At 46.1% G+C, this 25,838-nt stretch overlaps 1 protein-coding gene and 1 long non-coding RNA gene across 3 annotated transcripts in view, besides 9 other annotated features; one reads left to right on the top strand and one right to left on the bottom strand.

Annotated features, from left to right (window-relative positions):
* Positions 1-25,838, top strand: part of EHD4 (EH domain containing 4) — a 76,625-nt gene that overhangs the window by 31,953 nt on the left and 18,834 nt on the right. For both annotated transcript variants that reach the window (NM_139265.4, XM_047432408.1), the window contains exon 4: positions 20,983-21,395. In NM_139265.4, coding sequence (NP_644670.1) covers positions 20,983-21,395 — 413 coding nt within the window. The remainder of the gene's footprint in view (positions 1-20,982; positions 21,396-25,838) is intronic.
* Positions 3,261-3,320: an enhancer, noted in NCBI's record as "active region_9292". NCBI's record gives its function as "activates an Ori minimal core promoter by ATAC-STARR-seq in GM12878 lymphoblastoid cells {active_cell/tissue: GM12878}" and the evidence as "EXISTENCE:reporter gene assay evidence [ECO:0000049][PMID:35858748]".
* Positions 10,996-11,125: an enhancer, noted in NCBI's record as "active region_9291". NCBI's record gives its function as "activates an Ori minimal core promoter by ATAC-STARR-seq in GM12878 lymphoblastoid cells {active_cell/tissue: GM12878}" and the evidence as "EXISTENCE:reporter gene assay evidence [ECO:0000049][PMID:35858748]".
* Positions 11,146-11,225: an enhancer, noted in NCBI's record as "active region_9290". NCBI's record gives its function as "activates an Ori minimal core promoter by ATAC-STARR-seq in GM12878 lymphoblastoid cells {active_cell/tissue: GM12878}" and the evidence as "EXISTENCE:reporter gene assay evidence [ECO:0000049][PMID:35858748]".
* Positions 11,146-11,691: a biological region, named in NCBI's record as "H3K27ac-H3K4me1 hESC enhancer GRCh37_chr15:42221112-42221615".
* Positions 11,188-11,691: an enhancer, noted in NCBI's record as "H3K27ac-H3K4me1 hESC enhancer chr15:42221112-42221615 (GRCh37/hg19 assembly coordinates)". NCBI's record gives its function as "activates a minimal SCP1, AML or CMV promoter by ChIP-STARR-seq in primed H9 embryonic stem cells {active_cell/tissue: H9 hESC(primed)}" and the evidence as "EXISTENCE:reporter gene assay evidence [ECO:0000049][PMID:30033119]".
* EHD4-AS1 (EHD4 antisense RNA 1) lies at positions 11,319-19,188 on the bottom strand. The gene is made up of 4 exons (NR_120332.1): positions 18,864-19,188; positions 14,438-14,524; positions 12,099-12,255; positions 11,319-11,923 (listed from the first exon to the last, which is right to left on the bottom strand). It is a non-coding gene; the product is annotated as an EHD4 antisense RNA 1 (long non-coding RNA).
* Positions 12,587-12,796: an enhancer, noted in NCBI's record as "active region_9289". NCBI's record gives its function as "activates an Ori minimal core promoter by ATAC-STARR-seq in GM12878 lymphoblastoid cells {active_cell/tissue: GM12878}" and the evidence as "EXISTENCE:reporter gene assay evidence [ECO:0000049][PMID:35858748]".
* Positions 14,197-14,714: an enhancer, noted in NCBI's record as "H3K27ac-H3K4me1 hESC enhancer chr15:42218089-42218606 (GRCh37/hg19 assembly coordinates)". NCBI's record gives its function as "activates a minimal SCP1, AML or CMV promoter by ChIP-STARR-seq in primed H9 embryonic stem cells {active_cell/tissue: H9 hESC(primed)}" and the evidence as "EXISTENCE:reporter gene assay evidence [ECO:0000049][PMID:30033119]".
* Positions 20,697-21,196: an enhancer, noted in NCBI's record as "H3K4me1 hESC enhancer chr15:42211607-42212106 (GRCh37/hg19 assembly coordinates)". NCBI's record gives its function as "activates a minimal SCP1, AML or CMV promoter by ChIP-STARR-seq in primed H9 embryonic stem cells {active_cell/tissue: H9 hESC(primed)}" and the evidence as "EXISTENCE:reporter gene assay evidence [ECO:0000049][PMID:30033119]".
* Positions 22,600-22,894: an enhancer, noted in NCBI's record as "tiled region #4481; K562 Activating DNase matched - State 5:Enh". NCBI's record gives its function as "activates a minimal TATA promoter and a strong SV40 promoter by Sharpr-MPRA in K562 cells {active_cell/tissue: K562}" and the evidence as "EXISTENCE:reporter gene assay evidence [ECO:0000049][PMID:27701403]".

Below are 25,838 nucleotides of genomic sequence, written 5' to 3'. Positions count from 1 at the left end.
CAACAGGTGGGGAAGGACCCAGAGCCACAAGCGATGACAGCACGACGGGCCACAGCTGTGGTTCCCAAGCCCGGTGCCACACGGTGTTAGGGGCGCAGCTGGTGGTGGAAGTCACTCAGCTGACATTTTCAACACACTAACCCCAAAGAATGCATACTGTTGTAAAGCAGCTTCAGCTCAAACGATTGCAAACAGTGCCACGTTCTCACGTATACTCACACCTACACCCAGCTTCGTAAGACCAGCTTCATAAGACCACAGCCCCACCTTTGCCAAGAATTAATGTCAACATGGGATAATAGACTGGGTACAAACTGTGACCCCACAAGATGTTTAAAGCATCCCCCACTGACTTTATTGGCGGGTCTTTGCCTCCCTTATGGGCATTGTGCCTGGGAAGGAGGAAAGGTGGCCGCTTGTGTACTGCCCTCCACTGCTCCTCCTTTCCCCTTTGTGCGGTTGATGATTAACCCTCAAAAGCTGAGTGGCTGGGCGCGGTGGCTCACGCCTATAATCCCAGCCCTTTGGGAGGCCGAGGCACGAGGATCCCTTGAGTTCAGGAGTTAGAGACCAGCTTGGCCAACATAGTGAGACCTCATCCCTATTTATTTAAAAAAAAAAATACATAGCATTCCAGGGGAGTAAACGTCATCTAAATCTCCTGTTTAGGAGCCGTATAAATGAAACCCATGAGGGCAATTGATTTTGGAGCAATTTTTAGTATACTACTCCGTATGGAAACTCCTTACCCCTCAAGTTTTCCTTAGTTCAATTATGGTTAGCAGAAAATCTTTTTTTTTTTTTTTTTTTTTGAGACGGAGTCTTGCTGTGTCACCAAAGCTGGAGTGCAATGGAGTGCTCACTGCAGCCTCTGCCTCGCAGGATCAAGTGATTCTCCTGCCTCAGCCTCCTGAGTAGCTGGGACTACAGGTGCCTGCCACCATGCCTGGCTAATTTTTGTATTTTTAGAAGTGACGGGGTTTCACCATATTGATTCTTGAGGGCTTTCCTTAACATTTCCTTAACATTGTCTAGGAAGACTTAAAGATGTTTGTATATAAATGTTAAAATGATAATCAGTATGGTAACCATATTGGCCAAACTGGTCTCAAACTCCTGACCTCAGGTGTGATCCACCCGCCTCGGCCTCCCAAAGTGCTGGGATTACAGGTGTGAGCCACCATGCCTGGCCATTGGCAGAAAATCTTTAGGGACAACAGACTAGGTTAGTTTAGTTACTAACCTGTAGCTTTCCTGGCTGACGTGAAGTGTTGAATTCCCATCAAGCAAGGATAAAAGTGTTCTGATATATTTATAATAATAATATTCTGATCAAGTAATAGCTTCCTAAAAGTCCTACAAACTTTTCTTGATTTCTTTTCTTGTATTTTAGTAGCCAATGAAAGAATGTTTGGATTCCTGCGGTTTTCTAAATTGCTTTCTTGAAGTGTGTGGGTAAATCTGAGTTGGTTCACTCTTCAGAACATCCTTTGTCCTTGGTGATAGCAGCCAGGTGTTTGACTCTGCGATGAGAAGAAAGAGCACCTTTATCCACACGCATAGCATTTTCCTTCCCACTCGACCTCTTATCATGCTGGCCGCTGAAATACTGTTTCCTAGAATACTATTGAGTCCATGCTGAACCTAAACATAATCTAGGATATATTTCTAGAGTTAGCATGAACACAAGTGTGTTCCCAGCTACTTAGTACAAACCTCCGGATTCTGACTCCAATCATAACATCCTTTGAAAAATTATAATGTAGCAACTGGTATTCTTATCAATCTATTTAGCATTTGGCATTTTCAAGGTGCTGTTTTAACCACAGATTATTCCTATGGTTTCTTGAGAATATGAGGTTTTGCGTAGCCTTCAATAGACTTGATTTTGGTAATAAAAATAGTACAGCTTCTCCCTTTTAAAAATTTAAATAACTCTAGAAGGAAAAAGCTCTATCTAAATTTTCTAACAGATCGACTTATTCTCTCAGGAACAACAGCTGTCAAATGAAAATTCGAGAGTGTCTTTTCCTGATGTTTAAGCTCTCGCCTCTTAATCCCAGCCTATTCATTATAAACCAATGAATAGAACTGGGAAGACAATGAAAAATAAAAGGACAGAAAATGCCCTGCTGGTAAAAGCAGTGGACAGTAATAGTACATGAAGCCGGGAGGATCTAACTGCACTTCAGGTAACATGACGGGCAATAACAGAAACTTCAGAATCACTGATTACCATTTTAACGTCTATATACAAACATCTTTAAGTCCTCCTAGGCAATGTTAAGGAGATGTTAAGGAAAGCCCTCAAGAATCAAAAAGGCGCCTGGGTAGTGATATAAACAGGAACAGGCTGTTTCAAGGGCCTGCCAACACAGCTAAGGTGCTCAAACACAATACAGGTTGAACATCTTGAAACTGAAAATTCAAAATCCAAAATCCTCCAAAATCCAAAACTTTTTGACGTGATGCCACAAGTGGAAAATTCTACACCTGACCTCATGTGACGGGGCACGATCCAAACTTTGTTTCATGCACAAAATTATTTTAAATGTTCTGTAAAATTACCTTTAGGCCATCTGTGTATGGTGTCTATGAAACATAAATGAATTTAGTGTTTAGGCTTGGGTCCCTTTCCCAAGATCTCTCATTATATATGTATGTGCAGATATTCCCCAATCAGAAAATCTGAAATCCAAAACACTTCCAGTCCCAACCTTTTCGGATAAGGTTTACTCAACCCATATCTCAAAAGAATCGACAGAGCTAGGAAATGGGGCCTGGACATCCAAGCTGTGACTAAGAGGGGTGCAGAAAAAAATGAAAAAGGCACCAGCAGACCACAATCAGGGAAGTACAAATGCATCCACTTTTGAACTTTGAAGACAAAAGACCGGATTTTGAAGCTTGCTCGGGAAAGGAGAGAGAACACTTAGAGATGTCCAGATAAGAATGACTTCCCCTCTCAGGCTTTGGTAACAAGAAGGATTTGAGAGGAAAACACACACATATGCAAAAAAGAAATGAGTCTTTTTTCCTAAAAGACCAAGAACCCTCAGTTCCCTTCCATTGCTCTATGTGTCTATCCTTCTGAAAGGCTGTTGATCAGAGCCTGGCTGGAGAGATGGGTGAGCTCTCTAGCCAGCCAAGGCAGGGCGCTGTAGGCCAGCGTGCAGACAAACTGAGACGAAGACATGACACTCTTACCACAGCCTCTGCCTAGCACCGAGTCGAGGGAGAGAGAACTGTGGCTGCCCTTCCTGTTGATATCTCTTCTAGACAACAGAAAGAGTGTATGAAAGAACAGAGAGAGATATGTGAGCTCAGGGCCCTTGGAGGAACGGAAGCTGTGCATGTGGCTGGAACATGGGTCCATGGCAGGTGGGCGCATGTGGCAGGAGACTCGAATTTGTCCTGAAGGCCACATGGAATACTGAGGGGTAGGAGGTATGGGAGGACGTGGTGGAGAATTCTGTAGAATAGAACATGCAGCCACAGGCGTGGATCATGAAGCCATTTTTTTATTTAGAGTTTGCATTCAGTGACCTGACTCTGAGCTTTGTCTGGATTTGGCAGTGACAGAAAAGTGTCCATCCCTGGAGGCTGGGGCCCAGCCCTGATGATTTGTTGGCAGATCCTGTTTTCCAGCCAGGGCTAAGGCCAGTCTGAGGTTGGGTTGTGAGGTCCTGGACATCACTAGCCACTTGGGCCTCTAGCAGGAAATCCTGATTTCTTTTTGTTTCGGGGAAGTTTTGACAAACGCATCCAGACTCCTTTTCCGCTGGTGCCACGGGAAATTCCACACCACAAGTGTTACTGCTTCCGGCCCTGATGTGAGCATATCGCCACTGTGACTCACAACAGCGTTCGCCAGCCCCGGCAGCTAGTTTGAGTTTTTGTTAATACATCAAATGCATTATTGATTGTGAGAAATGACTGTTTTTATCTAAACTTGAAACCTTGACTTTTAGATGAAAAACAAAAAATTTTATTTGATGGGGAGAAGGACACTTCACTTACTTTGCATATAGAGCATTTCATATTTATGTTTATGATATAAAACATTTCACGGGATATCTCAGACATTGGGATACAGAGATTAATCAGAGAAAAACATTTGCTCCTTACTCTTTTGAGTAATAATAATAATAGCTAATACTCTCATAGTGCATTGTTAAGTGCTTTCCACATATTATTAACTCATTTGCTCCTCACAAAAGCTCTGTGAGGTAGGAGCAATTATCCCATTTTATAGAAGAGAAGACTGAGGCACAGAGAGCTTAAGAAATTTGCTGACAATCATGTAGCAAGTATGGTAGCTTGTCTTCAAAGATACTGCCTCCTCCCACCACCACGCCAAGACCTGTGCCTCCCAGCATTCGTGCCTTGGGAGTCTTCTCTTCATGAGTCTGGATTGACCTTCTGACTCACTTTTGATCAGTAGAATTCTGCAAAAGTGATACTTCATGATTTCCTAAGGCTAGGTCATAAGAAGCCCTGCAGGTTCCACCTAAATCTCTACAAGTGTTCATTCTGTGGAAAGCCGAATGCCATCTAAAAAGTCCAACTACTCTTAGTAGTTGTCATACTGTGACTGAGACGGCCATTCTGTGAGGGAAGCCCAAGCTAGTCACAAGGAGAGGCCAAGAGGCCCAGGCAGCCTCCTTGGCTGGTCCAGCTGAGATGTGAGTAAAGGGGCCATCACAGAACCAGCTCAGTTGAGCTGTCAGGTAACTCCAGCCCCAACCACTGTCTGACTATCACCTTCTGACAGACCCCAAGCGAGAACCCAACTGAGCCCAGTCAACCCACAGAACCTCCAGAGAAAATAGAAGTTATTGTTTAAGCCACTACATTTTAAGGTGGCTGATGACCAAAATAGCCAATAAGTGGTTGAGTGGGATTGAAACCAGGCAGTCTGGTTCCAGAGTGCGTGCTGTTAACCACAAGAGGCGTGGATGCAAACCAGGGCAAAATACAGCTGCCAGTCACACACACGGAGAAGGCAGCAAACCCCATGAGAAAATGTAATTGATGCTTTCCCCCAGCAACATCAAATCTCCTATTTTTTTCCTTTAGCAATTTTTGATGATAATTTTGCTTGGAAAAGAGTACACACTACCCTGCATTCTCACTCCTAGGATAGTGGAAAGGGGAAAGAGGTTTTCTTATGTTGAATGTCTGCTGTGCACCCCACTCTGCTGTGCCCCCTGGTCAATTTCTTAAGCACCTACTATGTGTCAGGTGCCAGGTGCCTTAGGTTTCACAGCAACAGTGAGACCTCATGGCTGCCTTCATGAAGCATATACTAGGGGAGATAGAGGAGCCAAAACACAAAACAAATGCAATTGAAACAAAGACATGTCCCACAGCAAGGGGTGGGCAGTCAGGGAGGGCTCTCTGAGGAGGTGGCATTTAGGCTGGACGTAAAGAATGGAGGGTTTGCCTGGCAGAGAGTTGGGGGAAGAGCTCTTCAGCAGGAGGAGCTGCATTGGCAAAGGCAGAGAGTAGGTGAGACCTGGCAGATTCGGGGAAGGCAGAGGCTAGGGAGCAGCCAGGAAGTGGTGGGTGATGAGATCAGGAGGCCCCCCCGCCACCTGCTGTGAGCTGTAGGCCCTGGGGAAGTGCATAGATTTTTCTCTGAGAGTACCAGGAAGCCACTGAAGGATTGTCTTTTTCAATCTTCTGTTGATTACCTAGAATTATTAGGAATGTCCGGGTCTTCCTGTACTGGGCAAGAACAGCCCTGGGCCTGCCACTCAGTTCTCTGGGCGTGTTTGGTTGCTGGTTTTTCTCTTTCCTTCGGCCGTGCAATTGCTGTCCTTTCCTTCTCTGTCATACATGTGGCATATATGTTCTAGGCCAGCCTTTCCCTGCTGCCCCCTCCTGCTCTGGAGTCCACACGGCTGCAAATGATGCTCGGAAGACTAGCACGGTGAGCCCCAGGGTCCACAGACAGTTATCACCTGGGGAGCTGTTAAAATGCTGCTTCAGCCAGGCAGAGGGGCTCACACTTGTAGTCCTAGAACTTGAGGCTGAGTCGAGAGGATCACTTGAGGGCAGGAGTTCCAGACCAGCCTGGGCAGCATAGAGAGACCCAGTCTCCACAAAAAATAAAATAAATTAGTTGGGTGTGGTGGTGTGTTCTCGTAGTCCTATCTCCTTGGGAGGCCGAGGCAAGAGAACCTTGAGCCCAGTAGTTTGAGGCTGCAGTGAGCTATAATTGTGCCACTGTACTCCAGCCTGGGTAACAGAGCAAAACTCCATTTATTTATTTGAAAAAAAAAAAAAAAAACTTCCTGGCACATGGTTCAGGGGCATCTGGGCAGGGTCCAGAGGGTTCTGATACAGGGGGCCCCATTTTGAGGAATCTGGGTTAGGGCTGAGCCACCACTCCTGAGCCTGAGCCTGTCCCTCCTACATACCCTGCCATCCCCAAAACAAGTGAAAGAAGGGGCTGGCAAACTTGGAGAACCTACCGAAACCAACCTGGGCTTTGTCCTGCATCTCTGTATGCCCGAGGGTGAAGGCTGCCCTCTCAGAGAACGGAGGGGAGAACTTGAGTGAGAGAGACGATGGGGTGGGGCAGGCTCTGTGACTAACCAGCCTCCTTCCAGGGCAGGGCTTTGGAAGGAAGCAGAGGTGACTGTCCCGCAGGAGTCACCAAGTGACCCTGTCGGCCTCATGGGCGTCTGACAGGGAGGGCGTGAGGCCTGATGCTGGGTCCTCTGTCTGTGTCTCACTGCTTGCAGGAGCACCCCCGCCTAGCCTACTTCGGAAGCTAGGATTTTTAGGAACCCCTAATGAAAATAAAGAAGGAATTTTTTTAAGTTTTCAGGTACACTTTGAAACGTTTAATAACCTTCCCTGGTTTTATGGGGACATTCCTGTTACACAGCCTCAATCCCTGTTGCTAGAGGTGGTAAAGCTTCTCTCCCTCCTAATCACTGTGCACCAGTGGGGAACCCCCAGCCTAGAAGGTGGGAGGGAAAGATTATAAATGCAGGATTCTAGGTGGAAGAGAGGCAGTGGCAATCCATGCCGAGAAACACTGGCCGGGCACGTTTCTCCCTGTCCCTGGCTCTTTCCCTTGCCAGCTGGGCAACCTGGGCGAGTTACTTCACCTCTTTGAGCTTCATTTTCCCCTGCTCTAAAACAGGGGAAGGTACTTTCTCTCGTACAGTGGGATCTTACGAGAATCTGAATGATCTGTGTTCATACCTAAGTGCTCCATAGATATCAGCCGTTCCTGTTATCTATGAAGCTCAGAGTGAGAGGGAAACAGCAAAAGGTCCTCCCCAGGATACACGTGTGGCTTGAATTCAGGTTTCATGTACCTGTGCCCGGCAGGCAGGCAGGCATCTCGACCATCCAAACAAGCCTGTGGTTGGGGAAACGCTGAAAATAACAAGGCTTTCAGGGAGCATCTGTATTTTCCTTAGAAAGACAGAGGGAGGTGGGGAGATGCAGGCACACTCCTGTGGGCCCTGGAGGAGGCTGACCTGAGCTTGAATCCCAGCATGGGGCCCTGTGAGCCTCTTTCCGCTTTTATAAAGTGAGGGAATTTTCCTTCCCAGGGTTGTTTTGAAGATAACATGTGTAAACCATTTAACATGGATCATGATTAATAACTGGTGATAGGGGCGGTCATGATTCATTTTATAGAACTGGGGTGGTCCCAGAATAGACGGACCCAGCTCAGAGGGCCCTCTCGGCCAAGCGCTCAGCATTTCCCAGGGGAGGGCAGAGGATGGCCGAGTCCTGGGACTCAGACAAGGGCCTTGCTCTTCCAGAGATCCAAAGCAGGGGCGGTGAGGGTGCGTGAAGTATTTGGGCCTGACCGTAGAGCTATGGAAAGCCACGAGAGTGCAGACAAGGGCTGGAGGTGGGAAACCTGCTGAAGAGAATGACCCGGGAGCAGTGTTCCCGGGTGTGGCTGAGGGGCCCGGCTTCTGGCACTCCTCCAATTCTTTTTGCCATAATCCTCTTTCTTGTATCTAGGGATATTTCTCACACATGCCCTGATGCAGTTTCCTCAAGAAACCTCCATTCACCTGTAATCTTAGTCTCTTTCTCAAAATTGCCTCCTGTTGGAATCCAAATCGAGATGCAAAGCACAAATCAGACCATGTATGCAGCGTTTCACCTTTCTGAAGCACCCTGCGGTGGGTAGGTGTGTATGTGCTTGGGACAAAAGGCTACAAAAAGATAGTGAAGAATGTCTGTACCACCCATATCCCCCAGTTCCTCTCCCAGAGCAGACCCTGCCTGCAGACCCTGGGGCTTCTCCCAGCTCACCCGCCCACTCACGTGGAGCCCTGGCGGGATTCGCTCCACTGCCCTGTGTCTTGATTTTCCCACTTATAGTAAATCTTGGAGCTTGTCCATGTCTGTACTTCGGAGCTGCCTCCCGCAGTCCATCATATAGATAGACCAGAATTAATAGGTGCCATCCTTTTGGTGGGTGACATTCAGGCTGTTCCTAATCTTTTGCCGTTACAAACAGTGCCACAGTGGATTTACACAGTTTAGCATGTACGGTGCAAGTGTATACAGTTGGCACGATAACGTGCAAATATATCTTGAAAATTGCTGAAAAGGGAGGAGCTTAAAAAAAAAAAGAAATTGCTGGCTGGGCGCGGCGGCTCACACCTGTAATCCCAGCACTTTGGGAGGCTGAGGTGGGCGGATCACGAGGTCAGGAGTTGGAGACCAGCCTGACCAACATGGTGAAACCCTGTCTCTACTAAAAATACAAAAATTAGCCAGGCGTGGTGGCGTGCGCCTGTAATCCCAGCTACTCAGGAGGCTGAGGCAGGAGAATCACTTGAACCTGGGAGGTGGAGGTTGCAGTGAGCTGAGATTGCGCCACTGCATTCCAGCCTGGGTGACAGAGCTAGACTCCGTCTCAAAAAAAAAAAAAAGAAATTGCTGAGTAGATTTTAAGTGTTCTTACCACAACAAAACAAGTATGTGAAGTAATGCATATGCTAATTGCACTGTCAATTTAGCCATTTCACATTGAATGCATATTTAATTTTGTTTTATTTTAATTTAATTTTACTTTATTTTATGTTTTATTTTATTTTGAGACAGGATCTCGAAGCTCCGTCACCCAGGCTGAAGTGCAGTGGCACGATCACAGCTCACTGCAGCCTTGACCTCCTGGGTTCAAGTGATCCTGCCACCTCAGCCTCCTGAGTAGCTGGGACTGTAGGCATGCACCACCATGCCCAGCTAATGTTTTGCATTTTTTGTAGAGATGGGGTTTCACCTTGTTGCCCAGGCTGGTCTCAAACTCCTAGGCTCAAGTGATTCACCTGCCTCAGCCTCCCAAAGTGGTGGGATTGCAGGCATGAGCCACTGCACCCAGCCTCAGTGTATACATATTTCAAAACAACATGTTGGACATGATAAATATATACAATTTTTCTTTATCAATGTAAAAAAATAAATGAAATAGAGACTAATCCAAAAAATGTGCAGATGTAACTCTAAGATGCATTCCTAGAGGTGGAATTTTGGAATCAAAAGGAGCGGCGGTCTTTTTATTATGTTAGCTGGTGCCAAAAATGCCACTGTAGAAGGCATGCCTGTTTACATGCCCACCATCTCATTATGATTCTAATTTTCATTCCTCATGGTTAGTGTGGTTGAGCATCTTTTCATGTATACCTTTTTAAAGTATTTCCTTTTCTGGAGGTATTTGACTGTTTTGAAATACTGTTGGTAACTACATGGGCTACTTTTAGCAAAATCAGTGAGTCATTTTTTTATAAGGAGCCCCGTGTGGATTCCCATGGTTCCCACTGACTGGGTCTTTCTTTCCATCTGTGACATAAGCCCAGAAATAACTGTCTCTGAGTAATAGTTTGGCTTGAGGAGCTGGTTAGCTGATAACTTAATTGCTAGAGCTGGTCTGCAGTGCCAGCTGTTGTCCACAGGCATGCAGGACACTTGTGCAATGCCAAGATGTTTGAAAAGAGGAACAGGGCAGGGCGAGGGGTGGGGTCTTCAGGTCAGAAGTTGCTTTCTAGCCCTTTATGACCCCAGTTGTCATCCCGTTGGTTTAACATTTCTCTTTAGAAAACTGTAGCCTGAAGAAACATTACCTTTGCCCTTCTGAACCACAGAATGACAAGATGCATTGTCACGGTCAAAGCCTTGCTTATAAATGTTTGACCTCATCACATTTGGGTGGAGTCTGTTGGCATTTTGCCTCAAGAAAATTCAGTGCAAGTAATGTTTGCCACGCCAACTCCGTCTGATTTATAGACATATTGTATGAGACTTTCTAGCCTGACTTATACACAAAGCCCACTTGAAAAATGAGGAATGGACAATTTCCATGTGCGTGACACGGGATTCCTGGATCTGTTCATCCTAATATATAATAATATCAGAAGGTTAGATGGGGTGACTTCTTAAGCATCCTTGGAAGTCATACATTCCACAACCCTTCCTCAGATAGTTTCTTTCAGTATAGAGTTGTTTGGAATTGGATGACAATAAGTTAAACTTTGGGGCAACTAATTACACCTATAGAAACATTCAAGGACCTTCAAATTGGCCCAAATGCTATATAGCACATGAATCCAGTAGAAGGGATGTAATAAAATGAAACTTACTGTTTGATAATTGTGTCATTTAGAGTTGTTCATTCAGTATTCCTGTAGCCATCTGAAGGGTCTACTGTAGCCATCTGAAGGGTCATCTTAGGCTGGCACTGTAACTAGTTCGTGTCTGTACTATACAGACGCTGAGCTAAATCGATTTTCCTGGGAATCTGGCTTTTTATTTCAAAGAAGCTTACTGTTTGGAACCACCCTATATAGCTAAAATTTAAGATCTAGAAAGAATCCTTTTTGATCATCTGACTCACAGGTATAGAAACTGAGGCCCAGCAGAATGAAATTGTTAAGCCAGGCTCCAGGACTTACAGGATTTTCTTGGTAGGTTTTTTTACCAACTTCCCTCTCCAGCAAAGAGCCTAAAATGACTGATAATACCATGTTGCTGTCTTTCTCCAGGGCTCAGCCTTCTTTAAATGGGCCTGCTTCTTCATCTGGTATTTAATCTGAGATGGAAAGTGAGATGCGAAACCCAATTTTCCCTTTCACTTGGTCACATGCCCAGAAGCAGCAGCGTTCAGTGGGCCGAGTACTGGCGTGGAACCTTCCTCTGTTCCCATGTCTGTGGCGTGGCACGAACCTGTGATGTGGGGCTCTCCCGCCCTTGCCCTGGAGGGGCCTTCAGGGACATGTGGCTCACCCATCTGTTATTGTCACATATCCCCCAGAGGAAGGAGGGACAGGCTGTGAGGTTAGCTTGTTTATTTTATGAGGAAACAGGCACAGAAAAATTAATTTACAGAGTCTTGGACAAAATCCCAAAGGAAGGAGGAGTGGGAAGAGCAGAGAGCGGATAAACAGCACAACGCCATCCCTGGACACGCCTAGTTCTTGCTTTTATTTAAATTTTGGTAGGTTCTGTGGCCACACCCACTTTAGGCTAGGTACTGGGAGACAACCTCTGGGGTTTTCTGGTAACCAGTTACATTCTCCAAGAGGTGGCCATTACCAGCTGAAAGGTTCGAGGTGAACTCACATCCAGCCTCTCCAAAAGGAGCTTGGGAACCTGTGTTCCCTCCGGGCAGTCTCCCAGACCGGGTTTGGTATCAGCCCCTCCCTGCCACTGCCCTGCATCTGGTCAGCTGGGGAAAAGGGGGCAGGGAGGAGAGAAGGCCAGTGGAGCAGAGCCATTCATTCTGTGGCTTATTTTGTCATCAGCAGGTCCCATTGCTCCCGCTGATTGGGGACTGCCTCTTCCTCGGGGGTGTAGTTGCTGAGATACTGCTTCCCCCTCAGGGTGGTGCTCGGCACACCCACCATAGCCTCTGGCAGGGAAATGCTGGAATCCAGACCTTCACCAGAAGCACCATTGTAGAAGAAAAAGAACAACCTCCTCAATAATAATGCAAGTGGGCCAATAATTTTTACAATATGCATATTTGTTTTCTTGATATAAAAATAATATATATTCATTGTAGAACACTTAGGAAACCACAAATCAAAAAGGAGAAAATAAAGTACACTCACCTCTGATTCTACCATCCTGGTACACATATGGTGCAGCGCAGCGGGTGAAAGCACAGGCTCTAGGATCCGAGTCCCTGGGTTTGAATCCGGGCTCCCCTGAGAAACAGCTGTGTGCCTTGGGTCGGATACTTAACCTCTCTGAGTCTTTTTTCCTCCCCTGTAAAATGGGGGTAATAAAAGTACCTACTTCATGGGATTGTTGCAAGGATTACAAGATTGTAGTGATATGGAGCTCACAGGGCAGTGCAGGAATGTAGTAAGAGCTAAGTAAATATTTGCTGCAGTTGTTGATTTATAGCTATCATTTTGCTCTCTGCCACAATGACATTTTCAGAAGACATTTTCAGAAGCAGACTTTTCTAGTTGCGAAGTAAACTCAGCCAGGAAACAATGCAGAGACTCCTTGCCCTGAAGTGGCTGTTATTATTAACTAAAGGGACTCTTTTCGAAGTGTATTTATAATACCTGAGCGATCCCAGATAGTTGATGTTTACTTTGAGATGATTTACACTTCCCCTAGTTAGTAACAACCCTTTTTTAGAAACGCATACCACTATTTAAGCAACTAAACTTGCCAGATTGCTAAAAATCAGTTACATTTCTTGTTCAAGTGAATTCACTTGATTAAACCAATTTTACTGTATTTTACTGTGATAAGAACACTTAACGAAATCTACCCTCTTTACGCATTTTTAAGTATCCATTACAAGCACAATGTGGCTATAGGCACAGTGTGGTTCCGCAAATCTCTAGAACTTATTCATCTTGCCTAACTGAAATTTTATGCTGGTTGATTAGCAAAGCCCCATTTCCTTCTCCCCACAGCCTCTGGCAGTCATGGTTCCCCTCTCTGATTTTGTGTGTTTGACTATTTTACATATCTTATACAAGTAGAATTATGTATGTTTGTCCTTCTGTGATGGGCTTATTTCACTTAGCATGTTTTTTTCCTCAAGGGCCATCCATGTTGTTGCATATTGCAGAATTTTTTTTAAGGCTGAATAGTATTCCATTGGATGTGTACACCACATTTTCTCTATCCGTTCATTCACTGATGGATGCTTTTCTTATTTCTACATCTTGGCTGTTGCCATAAAGCGTCCATCAATGAATGAATGGATAAAGAAATGATGCCAATAATGCTGCAGTGAACATGGGTGTGCAGATATCTCTTCAAAGTCCTGATTTCAGTTCTTTTGGACAAATACCCAAAGTGGGATTGCTGGATGATATGATAGTTCCATTTTTAGTTTTTGGAGGAATAAACCAAATGTATTGAACACCTACTGTGCTCAGTAGTAATTCCTGGGTGTATAGTGGTGAATAGAATAAGGAGTGGAGTCTCTGCCCTCAGAATTTCTGTCTTATAGTCAGCAAATGTATATACCATTTCAGAGTATAAGTGCTATGAAGGAAATTCATTAAAGCTATAAGACTCTATCCCCGGGAACCTGATTTGATAGTGTAAGGCATCTGCAGTGGGCCTTTGGGTTACAGACACAGTGAAGACTTGGCCCTGCTCTCAGGCTGCTACAGACCCCATCAGGAGGAAACAGGAAAGGCGGTTCTGTTCCACTGGGTGGGGGAAGGCCACCTGGAGGAAAGTTCCCCAGAGGGATGAGTGGCTGTAGTTGGAGAAGAGGAAAGGGCATTCCAGACAGAAAGAAAAGCCTGAGCAAGGGTGTGGAGACAGGGAAGTACAGGATGCTGCTGCGGAACAGCAGAGCCCAGTGTGGTTTGTGCAGTGGAGAGGGTGGGGCTTAGTAAGAGACTGAGCAAAGGTTGAGAATTGCAGCAGAGGCTAGTCATGGAGAATTTGTTCTGGAAACATTTATTCTAGACATAATCAGGGACACTCACAGTTTTGGAGATAATCTTTGAGTTCTAAGAAGGGATGGGGATCGTCTGAGGGCTAGATTAGTGAGGTTGGAACCTGGGGACAAGAAGGAACTCTTGGTGCCTGCCTCGTGCTGGATGCTCACTGCACGGGTGCTGGAGGGACACAAAGGTGAACATGCAGCCAGGAGAGCCTGGGGTTGCACAGACAGAGCCACACAGAAAGTGCTGGGGGCAGTGGTAGGAATGCCCACATGGAACTGGAGCTACTAACTATGGGAGGGGCGGGCAGGGCCTCGAAAAGAGGAGAGGTTTGAGCAGTTTTAGGCAGTGTTCCGTCACCACCACGGGCAAGTGGCCCTGCCCACCCCAGGAGTGGGAGGAGGGACATGGCAGGGGGAGCTCGGCTGCATTTCTGCCTGCCTTCCATTGCCTTGCATCCTTTCATTAACACACATCTTTCTTTGTTTTTTTTATTTAAGTAGAGACAGGGCCTCACTCACCCAGGCTGGTCTCAAACTCCTGAGCTCAAGTAATCCTCTTGCCTTGGCCTCCCAAAGTGCTGGGATTACAGGTCTGAGCCACCGCACCTGGCCATAGACACACATCTTGTTTAAAACTCATAATTAGAAACTTGGCTCTGAAAAGAAATGTAAGCATTATTTTTCTCTTGTTCTATTAAAAATAGACTGCCAAATTTGCTTCCTCAGGGACCCCCGTGCTATATTTACCTGAGCCAGGGAGCAACTGTTCTAACCCCTTATGCCATTCCCTGGTGGCTCTTTCTCTGGCCAGGATGGAGGACCACAGTTTCCACAGGGGCTGTGACGGGAAGCCCTTGATTGGGTAGAAGGGGCTCCTTCCTTCCTGCCCCCTCCTTTTGTTCCCAGAACATGGAGCCAGGAATGCCAATCTGGGATCTTCCGCAGGACAAATTCTTTCTCCTAGTTCCCCAAGCTGTGTAGCTTTTGGGTCCTTTGGCAAAGAAAGAAACTATATTTTGAAACAACTGGACTGATTACATCTCTTTTTTGTTCCAGACTAATACAAGTTTCACTGGAAGGTCTTAAAGGATTGAAATTTCTATTAATTGCATGAATAAGTGTTGAAAATATACTGAGCACCGTGGGATGATTCTATGATTATGTTGAGTCCTGCACCCACAACACACACTAGTACATGCAAACACACATAGGTCCAGATCGTTCCATGCCCCAGGCCACGTTGCATTGTGCCTAGCTGAAACCAGTTCTCACAAACTTGGAGCATTCTCACTCCTGTTCTGTCACCATGAGAGGTTTTCATCACCTTGGCCAGAAAGCAGGATGCAGGTTAGCCGCTTCGAGTGGTTCTTAAGGCCGATTTCTTCTAAAGCTTAAGGCTTCTACTATAGCTTCGTTCACCTCCATATACAGCCAGCTTAGGTATGTAGCCCCTTGATGAACAGATTTCAACTTCCTGGTCCATTCAGCAGTTTGTGGAGATGTGTATCTTTAAACAAGTTTAGCAGCCTTGGGATTTTTCTTTCTTTTCTTCCTATTTACTTTTGCTTTTTAAGTCAATTTTGTTGAAGTATAACATATGATTAAATGCACCTTTTTTTTTTTTTTTGAGATACAGTCCCTCGCTGTCACCCAGGCTGGAGTACAGCGGCACAGTCTCGGCTCACTGCAGCCTCCGCCTCTTGGGTTGAAGCGATTCTCCTGCCTCAGCCTCCCAAGTAGCTGGGATTACAGGTATCTGCCAAAAATTAGCCTGGCTAATTTTTGTATTTTTAGTAGAGACAGGGTTTCGCGAAGTTGGCCAGGCTGGTCTCGAACTCCTGACCTCAGGCGATCCACCTGCCTTGACCTCCCAAAATGCTGGGATTACAGGCGTGAAAAATGCATCTATTCTATCTAATTGTACAGTTTGGTGAATTTGACATATTTGCATACTCGTGTGACTATGGCCATCATCAAGATATAGAAACTTTCCATCACCCTGAGACGCTCCCTGTTTGTCTGTTCCACTCACCAGCCGGGCTCCCGTCATAGGCAGCCACTGCCTGCTTTCTGTCACTTCTCCCACAAATATTTCTTGCATCCCCCCTGTATGCCAGGCACTGGATACAAAGATTTTTTAAATAACCAGTAGATAGCATTTTGGACAGCTTTCTAGGTGCCAAGGTGATTCTAAATGCTTCACGTATATTAACTCTGCAGCTCCTGAGGCCTGTGGATACTATTATCAGCCCTAGGGTAGCCCCAAGACACTGTTATTACAGATGAGGAAACGAGGCACAGAGAGGTGAAGTAATTTGCCCAAGGTCGCAGAATTAGTAAGTGATGGAGCCAGGAAGGTCCCAGGCAGTCTGGGTCCAAGGCCCACATTGTCCGCCACTATCTTGTGTGACCATGATGAAGACACAGTTCCTGTGGTTAGAGAATATATAATCTAATGAAAGAGACCAGCCCATCCCTCTGATTTTAATACCCTGTGTGAAGTGGTGCCATAGGCAGCACAGGCAAGGGAACTCAGGATGGGGAGCAGTTGAGGAAACCAGAGTAACCACAGCTCAAATTTGCTGAAAGTTAACAAAGTCTCAATGCCTTATGGATAAAAGCATTTTCTCAGGTAATCACTCAACAACCCGATCTTACAGGTGAAAAAAACTGGAGCTTAACGTTAAGTAATGTCTAACTTAATCAAAGTTGGCCCAGATATTTTGAAGAATGACTAGGGTTTGGGCTGGCTTTCTAGGCTCAGTCTAGACCATAGAGGAAGGGTTCACCAGGGCCATAGCCCAGCATGGGCAAAAGCAGGGAGCTTGGGTGAGTTTTAAAATCTGTCTTCAGATAAGCATGTTTCAGTTCTGTTTCCTCGACCTGTGATGCACCACCTAAACATCTATTGGTAACTTTTTGGAATAAAAGGAACTAATACTACTTTAAATGTGTTTGATTTGCTTTGTTGCTTGCTAACCAACAGGAACATAAACCTATCTGTACAATTTCCCCACCCTGGTATTCAGTCTAGACAGTGATCCTCAAACTGCACCATGCATTGCAATCACCTGGGAAGCTTCCAAGTGCAGATCCCCAGGCTCAGCCCCAGGGATTCTGATTCAGTGGCTCTGGGGAGGGGCCTAGGAGTCTAAACTTTAGCAAGCCCCTTATTTCATTCCAACACAGGAACAGGCTTTGAGGATCAGTGGTCTCTAGGTCCTTCTGAATCACCGTTTTCCTTTAGCAGGCAGACTAAATGACATGTTGGGAGTTAGATCCGCTGGGATTTTTGGGTAGCTAGGTATTTGCCGCCTGAGTCCTTCATGACACAAGAATCAAGCCGACCTATTCAGCCTTAGGAGGAGGGAGAGACTCTGACACATGCTACACCACAGATGGACCTTGAGGACGTTGTGCTGAGTGAAAGAAGCCGGGCACAAAAGGACACTTCTCTGAAGTACCTAGAGTAGTCAAATTCATAGAGACAAAAAGTAGAATGGTGGTCGCCAGGGGCTAGAGAGAGGAGGGGAGAATTAGTGCTTAATGGGTTCAGAGTTTCAGTTGGATGGTGGTGGTGGTTGTACGACAATGTGACTTATTTAATGCCACTGTGCAGTACACTTAAAATGCTTAAAGTAGCAAAATAATCCTAACTTTGTAGGGGGAGGTGGTAAGCAGACCAACCTCTCCCAGCTTTGATCATTCCTTGCTCTCTTTTGGACACGGTGATTTCTACTCCTTTGATTGTGTTGCCTGATGTGTGACAGACCGTCCTCTTACACCTGCTCAGGGACAGAACAAACACAGCTCTGCCTACCTGTACTTCTCGAACTATATTAAGCTCTCATTGTTGCTTTAACACAAGAAAATATGGATATGTACCTGTTCCTCCAGACATGAGTATTGGCGTCACTTATAGTAAACTTAAATCTGGCAGCTCTGTTCCTAATAACTTTTGATTTCACTATAGCATTGAAATGGCATCTTTTTTAAAGATGCTTAAATTAACTGTTAGGAACTCAAATTTAAGTTAAAGTTTAAACACAAGTGTTGCAATCAAAGGTAACCATTCAACCCAGGCGGCCCTGGGAGGAAGAGAGACTGCATCTGCACGGCTGGGTTGGCACAAGCACGGCAGGGTTGGCGCGAGCGCAGCTAGCAGCAGCAGCTGTGTTTCAGTTTGGGTGGCAGGTTTCTTTCGGAACCGACAGTAAGAGGTATTCCGAAATCTTAAATGGGGGTGAGGGGAGGATTGTTTACCAATTGTGGTTTTGTTTGTTTTGTTTTGTTTTGTTTTTGTGACAGGGTCTCACTCTCTCACCCAGGCTGGAGTATAGTGGTGGGTCCATGGCTCACTGCCTCAAACTCCTGGCCTCAAGTGATCTTCCTGCCTCAGCCTCCCAAGTAGCTGAGCCCACATGCATACGCCACCACACCCAGTTAATTTGTTTTTATTTTTTGTAGAGACAGGGTCTCACCATATTGCCAGGTGGTTTCAAACTCCTAGCCTCAAACAATCCTCCCGCCTCTGCCTCCCAGAGTGCTGGAATTACAGGCATTAGCCACCGTGCCCAGCCTTATCATCACTTTCAATAGCAAACCAAAGAAGCTGATTCTAACTAATTTAAGCAGAAAAGAAAATGTTTTGGAGAATTTGTCACAGGATTAATGGGAAAGTTGGAGAACTAGGCTTAGAAAAGAGTTAGGAAGCCGCCACCACCATGAGTAAATTCTTATTTTCACTGTGTCTTCGTGTCATTTCCCCAAGGTTCAGCACTCCTCTCTGGTGGAAGGAAGTGAATGTCTAACTCTAGATCACATGCTTATGCCCCAGCTTGCTAAGGAATGGGGCGAGGGACTCTCTGCCACACCTTCAGCCTCCACAACCCATAAAGGATACCTCCTGACCCAACAGGAAGGGTATTCAGCAAAAGCAACTCACATTCACTCCATGTGCACAGCGTTTTCTTTGATCTGTTTCTGAACCTTCAGATACCCCATCTGATCACTAGGAAGACCACGTGGGAGAGTGGTCAGGTCAGCATGGTGAATCAATCATCTCTCCTGGAAAAGCAAGTCCCCATGCAGGTCCATCTATGGGTGGCTCCAAAGCATCTTCCCGGCACCCAGCAAACAGCCAGTTCATTCATCCGCTGGGGACCTACAATCCTGTGAGCTAGGGCTGTCTGTGCACACGTCTGTCTCAAATGGCAGTAGCACTTAGTGTTACCCTAGGAGGCAGTTTGTTCTGGCCTTTCAGGGACAGAACTCAGAGTGAAACCTTGACTATGTGTGACCCTGTCAGTAGGTCTTTGATATTCCTCTGACCTAAACTGGCTGCTGACAGCAATGAAAATAAACTCTGGCCCACATTCCGAGAACTGCCTTTGTCTTCCTTATCCCCAAGGAGTCAGGGAGTGCCGCAGTGAGACAGAACAGAGAAATGAAAAGCATGAACTGGAAGTATCCACGCGTGTGGCGGCATAAACACCACACTCAGGACAGCGGCCTGCTAGTGGGGGGAAGGGCTCAGGGAGGGGTGCACAGGGGGCTTCAGCGTTACCAACTGTCTTGTTTTCTTTATGAAAAATGGACCTGAATCCAGTTTGCTTGTTCAGCTATTCCTCTAACACCTGTTCTTCAAATGCATGGAAACCTTAGTCCGCAGACCCTCTTTATTTTCACCTAATAGATTATTCACCTCAGATACTTTTTCCTCTGCCTTGGATTCACACCTTCTCCACCCCCACAGCCAACCAGGGTCTCACAATCGATGTTGACATTTTTGTATTTGTGCTATAGTCTGTATCCACAGATGGTTGAGTATTTTGTATTTTAACATTTTACATGAATGTTATCATGCTGTATATGTCCTTTTGAAACTAAGCTTTTACTCTTGTTCTTTTCTGGAGATTTACCTGTGTTGACAAGTGAAGATCTAGTTCCTTCTCACCACCGTATGGTATTTTGTTATCTAAAGAAACGATACTTGGTTTTAAAACATATCTGAAATAGCAAACAAAGCAAAGTGTCAACATTTGTTAAAATTATGTGGTAGGTACATCAGCATTCATTATATGACTTACAGATGTTTATGTATGTTTGAAAGTTTTCAAAATCTAAAAGAAGAGGGGAGACGACCCCTAGCATGGGGGTCAGGCAGGTGACATCTCAGCACTAGCTGGGCTGGATTGAGACTCTGCTTCTGCAACTAGTCAGACTGAGATTAAAAGTCAACTTTGTGGGCTTGGCCTCCTCTTGTTTGCTTTTCGTGGGAATCTGCCTCCCTGGGGAAAGGCCTGAGAGCCTTGACCTTGGGCTGAAGAGTGTTTATGCAGCTGCATGATTTGTGGAGGTGGTCAGAATAGGCTGGACAGAATTTGCTGTGGGCCAGGCCATTTTAAAAAAAGAAATTGGCAAGAGACCATTTTACACAATGGCTGTGATACGTAATGTTAAAAAAATATTCACAATATACCTGAGTTATAAATAGTCCAAAGATAAATATTGATCACAACACTGGCTGGGCCAACCTTTGACCTCCTCAGCACTCTACAAACTTGGGTTAATTGAAGGCGATGCCTCTTCTGTTATGCTTACTGGATACCCCCATGGGATGCCAGGTGGCCTCTGGTTCTCTTTCTTCTGTATTTGGGGCTTTCAGAAAAGTGAGACTTTTCAGAAGTAAGATCTTTTGACCCATGGCCTGTGTTTTTATAAAACCATTGATCAATTCTGCCATCAAGCAAAAGGTCTGTATTAGGTGAAATAAAACACTCATGAGGACTAAATGAAATCGCAGATATGAAAGTCAGCAATTCCCAAAGTGACCATGAGCCCCATTCTCTTTCCTCCCTCCTCCTGTGGAAGGGCTCCCCAGGTCCTTCCCACCCGGATTCATCCAGCCCGTGATTTTCATGTCACCAGGCCTCCACTGCCTCCAGGTTGGAGACAGGGCTCTCTCCCTGGCAGCTGCTGGAGAGCGAGACTGTTCCTGAGCCGCCCATTAAACGTGTCTCCTGCAGCAGTGGCTACACTGACGTGTCCTTCTCTCCACCCAGGCTATGACTTCTGCCAGGTCCTGCAGTGGTTTGCCGAGAGGGTGGACAGGATCATCCTGCTCTTTGACGCTCACAAGCTGGACATCTCAGATGAATTCTCAGAGGCCATCAAGGCCTTCCGGGGCCAGGACGACAAGATCCGTGTCGTGCTGAACAAGGCCGACCAAGTGGACACGCAGCAGCTGATGCGGGTCTACGGGGCCCTCATGTGGTCCCTAGGCAAGGTCATCAACACGCCCGAGGTACTGCGCGTCTACATTGGCTCCTTCTGGGCGCAGCCCCTGCAGAACACGGACAACCGCCGGCTCTTCGAGGCTGAGGCCCAGGACCTCTTTAGAGACATCCAGAGCCTCCCCCAGAAGGCAGCGGTGCGCAAGCTCAACGACCTCATCAAGCGAGCGAGGCTGGCCAAGGTAAGCCAGGAGATGCCTTGCACAGAGGCCAGGGGCTGGGACTCTGCTGTCTCCTCTCCAGAGGCAAGATGGGTGGGAGGAGGCTTCGTTCCAGAAGGCTTAAGGAATGAACATGCGCTAGGTTAAGAATACAGCCTCGAGGTCAGGTGGCCCTGCTGACACCCTAGCTCCTGGCTCTGCACTCCTGGGCAGATGACTAACCCTGTTCTCCAATCTGTACCATGGAGCTAATAAGAGCACTTCACAAGAACTTGGGGTGACAGTTGGTCAGTGTGACAGAGCACTTGGCATAGTGCCTGGTGCACAGGGAGGGGGATCAATCAGTGCACCCACTACATGGTAGCTGTTAGGATGTCAGGACGATAGGAATATAACCAACCAAACCTGAAAGAGGTGGCATTGGTGAGACCAACAGGATGCTGAGAGGCCACTGCTAGTCCCCGTGCACCAAAGGCCAGTGTTACCACCTGGATCCAGGGGAGCCCTGGGAAGAAGTATGGCTCAGTCTTACTCTTGGAGTGTGCTGGTTTTGGGTCACCCCCGCATCCTCATTCTGGGCTGCGGGCTGTTAGCCTGCATGCCTGGGCTCCTGGCTCGCCTGCCTCATAGCTGAGCCTTTCAGCAGCCCCAGGAGTGTGTGCCCAATGGGGCAGTGAGAGGTGACCTGCTGACATCCCTCAAGTGACAGAGTCAATTCATGTCTCCAAAGAGAGAAAAGCATATCCCTCCTCCAAGAGAAAATACAGAGAAAAAAATGGCTCTTTAAAAAATATGTGCATGTTTCATAAAATCATTGTCCTCTAATGCTGGAAGTGCCTTTAGAGTTTTATCTAGTCCTAGTGAAGTTCAAACCTGGCTGATCATCAGAAGCAACATACATTCCCAGGCCCTGCCCCAGAGCCTCGGATATAGGGGTGTGCGTGCACACATGGCCTTGTGTGAATATGCATGTGTGTAAACATGCGCGTGTGTGTGTGTGTGTGTGTGTGTGTAAAGCTCCCTGGGTGATTGGCTATGTGCCAGTCATGGTATGGATGCTGCCATGAGTGCTCTGGGAAGGGTGACTACGTGCCTGGCCAGGAGGCAGGGAGGGCTTCCCTGATGGGGACAGCCAAGGTGGGGACAATTCTTCCTCCTTCTTGCTGCTCATTAGCAGCCTGTCCTCGTGCCAGTGTGCTCACTGGGCAGCCTCTTGCCTGGGTGAAAACAAACACCGTCCTGGCTGCTGCTGCCCCTCACACAGGACCTCGATGTCCTGTGTCCCTCTCTGTCACGTGTGTCCCAGTGCGTGTGCATGCATTCCTCCCATATGGCTCAGCTAACCTGCAGTGGTGTGGTGCTTGTGTGAGTCATCCTTCTTTATCTGTTCTTCCTGGTCCAAGTGGCTTCCTTTCCAGAGCTACAAGCCATTTTTGCTCCAGTTCTGCAAGGCAGATGTGCTAACTAGTTTGTAAATCCACTTACGTGCAGCTCTCCTGAAATGATTTTGCCCTCGCCCTTGTCCTGGGCCTAATGCTTGGTAGCAGGAAGGCTGTTTTTCCACTCGGTGATCCCTTGGTTTGTGGTGTTTCCTTTCTCCAGCAGGTACAACTGAACAACCTTCAAGGTGTGTGACACCCCACATTAGTTTATAACCAAAGTTGGTGACTCATGTCATAGCCTTTGCAGATTTTGAGATTTTTTAAAACTATTTTTAAATGCTCATGGACATTCTTCATTTACCAGTTATTGGTAAATGAAGACCCAGTGACTGGAGATGCTGCTGTATTCAGTCATATAAATAAATAAGGAGGCCGGGCACGGTGGCTTACGCCTGTAATCCCAGCACTTTGGGAGTCGGAGGCGGGTGGATCACAAAGTCAGGAGTTCAAGGCCAGTCTGGCCAACATATTGAAACCCCGTCTCTACTAAAAATACAAAAATTAGCCAGGCATGGTGGCAGGCACCTGTAATCCCAGCTACTCAGGAGGCTGAGGCAGGAGAATCGCTTGAACCCAGGAGGTGGAGGTTGCAGTGAGCCAAGATCGTGCCACTGCACTCCAGCCTAGGCGACAGAGTGAGACTCTGTCTCAAATAAATAAATAAATAAATAAATAAATAAATAAATAAATAAGGAGCAGAAAGCTCGCTGGAAATGCCAAGCGCCTTAACCCGTAGAGCTTCCCTGCCATCCTTGAGCCTCGGGCCCTCTGAACGGGCCAGCGCGGCCTGGGTTTGGAGGCACAGAACGCTGCTCTGTATTCTGACACTGTGAATAATGAAAACCCTTGTGTGGATGCAGGGAGTGGGGGACGGTCAAACTTGCTGAGCTTACTTGCAGGAAAAAGGCTTGTGGTTTTTTTCTTCCTAAGAATAGTATCTGGCTTGTTCCTTTTCACAAAGGAAAATGTTTGAAGTATGGGTATTTGCAGCCGGAGCTTCTCAGTGCCAGTTGCTCGTGGGCAGTGCCATGCTGAGGAACGGGGACAGGAAGCGGGCTCACCCGGAGGAGAAGCCGGACTCAGCACGGCGGCCTTGGCCACTAACTCATGACATTGACCTCACGCCACCTGCAGTTTCATGTTCCACCGCTGAACTTGTTTCTGCTTAAATGGACAGATGCTTACCTGAGTTTTTCTTTTTGGAGTGTTTATATTTTCCAAAAGTGCTTTTATTTTGGTTTATTAACCTTTCTCTTGATCCAGTTTTCCTTTTTCACACCAACTGTTCCAAAGCTCTGTAGTCTGCATTATGTGTGTTTTTTTGTTTGATCCTGTTGACAACTACACAGTTGGGCATTTTTGTCCTCATTTCCCACCTGAGGGAACGGAAGCTCAGAAAGGTGAAGTTATGTCCCCGAGGCTTCACAGCCTGTAAGCTGCAAAGTATACGTTCAAACCTCGGTCAGTGTGACACCTCAGTCCAGAAAGCAGTCACCTGAAATCGGGAGTGAACAGCAGCTACAGTACCTCCTCCCTGTGTCCTTGTTTTCTGCACTGATCTGTTAATCTATTTATTCCATAAAAGTCTCCATCCACAGAAACCCTACAAAGTTTAGGTTTATCAAGCTGACACTTTGAAAACATGCAAAGGGTAAGTTTTCAGATGTCAGCTAAGAGATGTCAAGTCTGAGTTGGGTTGTGGAGTATGTTTATTTATAGAACACCATAATTAACCAGGATTCATGGCCCATCCAGATAAAGCAAGTGCGCCGTTTTAATCAAACTCGAAGTGTCATAAAGGTGACATTTTAATAATATGAAAAGTAGATAGATACTCTTCCCAAAGAGCTCTTGAAGTTTATTTCCCTTCTTTTTCTGTTTGTATATTTTTTTCACATCTCTGTATTTAAGGAACAGGGAAACTTTAGAGTGGGTTTTTGGTTAGCCTCAAAGATCACTTCTTACAATCTCAGTAGACATCCTTCTTGGAAGACGGCTCACACTCTGAGATGCCAATCAGGGTTCATTTCATGATTCTTTAAAGGAAGCTGTTTTGGGAAAGCCCAAAAAAGGGTTTGGAACATGTCATTTACTTTTATTCAGCTATAATTAAAATAGCCAAATTAAAGAAATTAGACTCATACAAATCCCAAACAATGCAAGTTCACTATCAGACCCCACCCTTTAGAAGCGTATTGCCCAAGAATAGGAAAGGCTGTCACCCATTTGGAGATCTTTGCTCAACAAAAATGAGGCAACATTTGAGGAAGAAACAAGTAAAACTGAGAAAGAAGAGGAGAGGTCAGTGATTTTCAAGGTTCACTGTAGTTCTGTGGAATTTAGCTTATTCTTTCAAATGTAGACTCTTCTCAGTCACATGTGATGTGCACAGCCTGGCTTTCTTGTCTATAGGCTGGGCACGGTGGCTCACACCTGTAATCCCAACACTTCAGGAAACCAAGGCGGGCAGATCACTTGAGGTCAGGAGTTCGAGACCAGCCTGGCTAACATGGTGAAACCCCGTCTCTACTAAATGTCATCAAAATGACAAAATGACAGTTTTTCTCTAGGCTAATAACTCAATGAGCAGAAAGGAAAGTCCTCCCTTTTAAATGTATATGAATGTATATGTAGTTCACACTTACACTCTGACACAGATCTCATTGTGTCCAATGATGTGTGTGTGTGTGTGTGTGTGTGTGTCTCCAAGACTGAGACACATGTACTAAAGAGTGATACTGGCCACATCTACTCTGGGCTTGGAGGGTAACTTCAGCAAGTGCTGGATACAAAAATTACAAAAAAAATTACAAAAAAATTACAAAAAATACAAAAATTAGCTGGGCGTGGAGGTGGGCGCCTGTAATCCTGGCTACTCAGGAGGCTGAGGCAGGAGAATCACTTGAACCCAAGAGTTGGAGGTTGCAGTCAACCAGGATCGTGCCACTGCACTCCAGCCTGGGCGACAAAGCAAGACTCCATTTCAAAAAAAAAAAAAAAAAATTCTCCTGTAAAGAAATGA

Source organism: Homo sapiens, chromosome 15, assembly GCF_000001405.40.
Source record: "Homo sapiens chromosome 15, GRCh38.p14 Primary Assembly".
In the NCBI taxonomy this organism is placed as follows: Eukaryota; Metazoa; Chordata; class Mammalia; order Primates; family Hominidae; genus Homo; species Homo sapiens.
The sequence above is the reverse complement of the archived record's forward strand: the minus strand, read 5'-3'. Positions and strand labels throughout refer to the sequence as shown.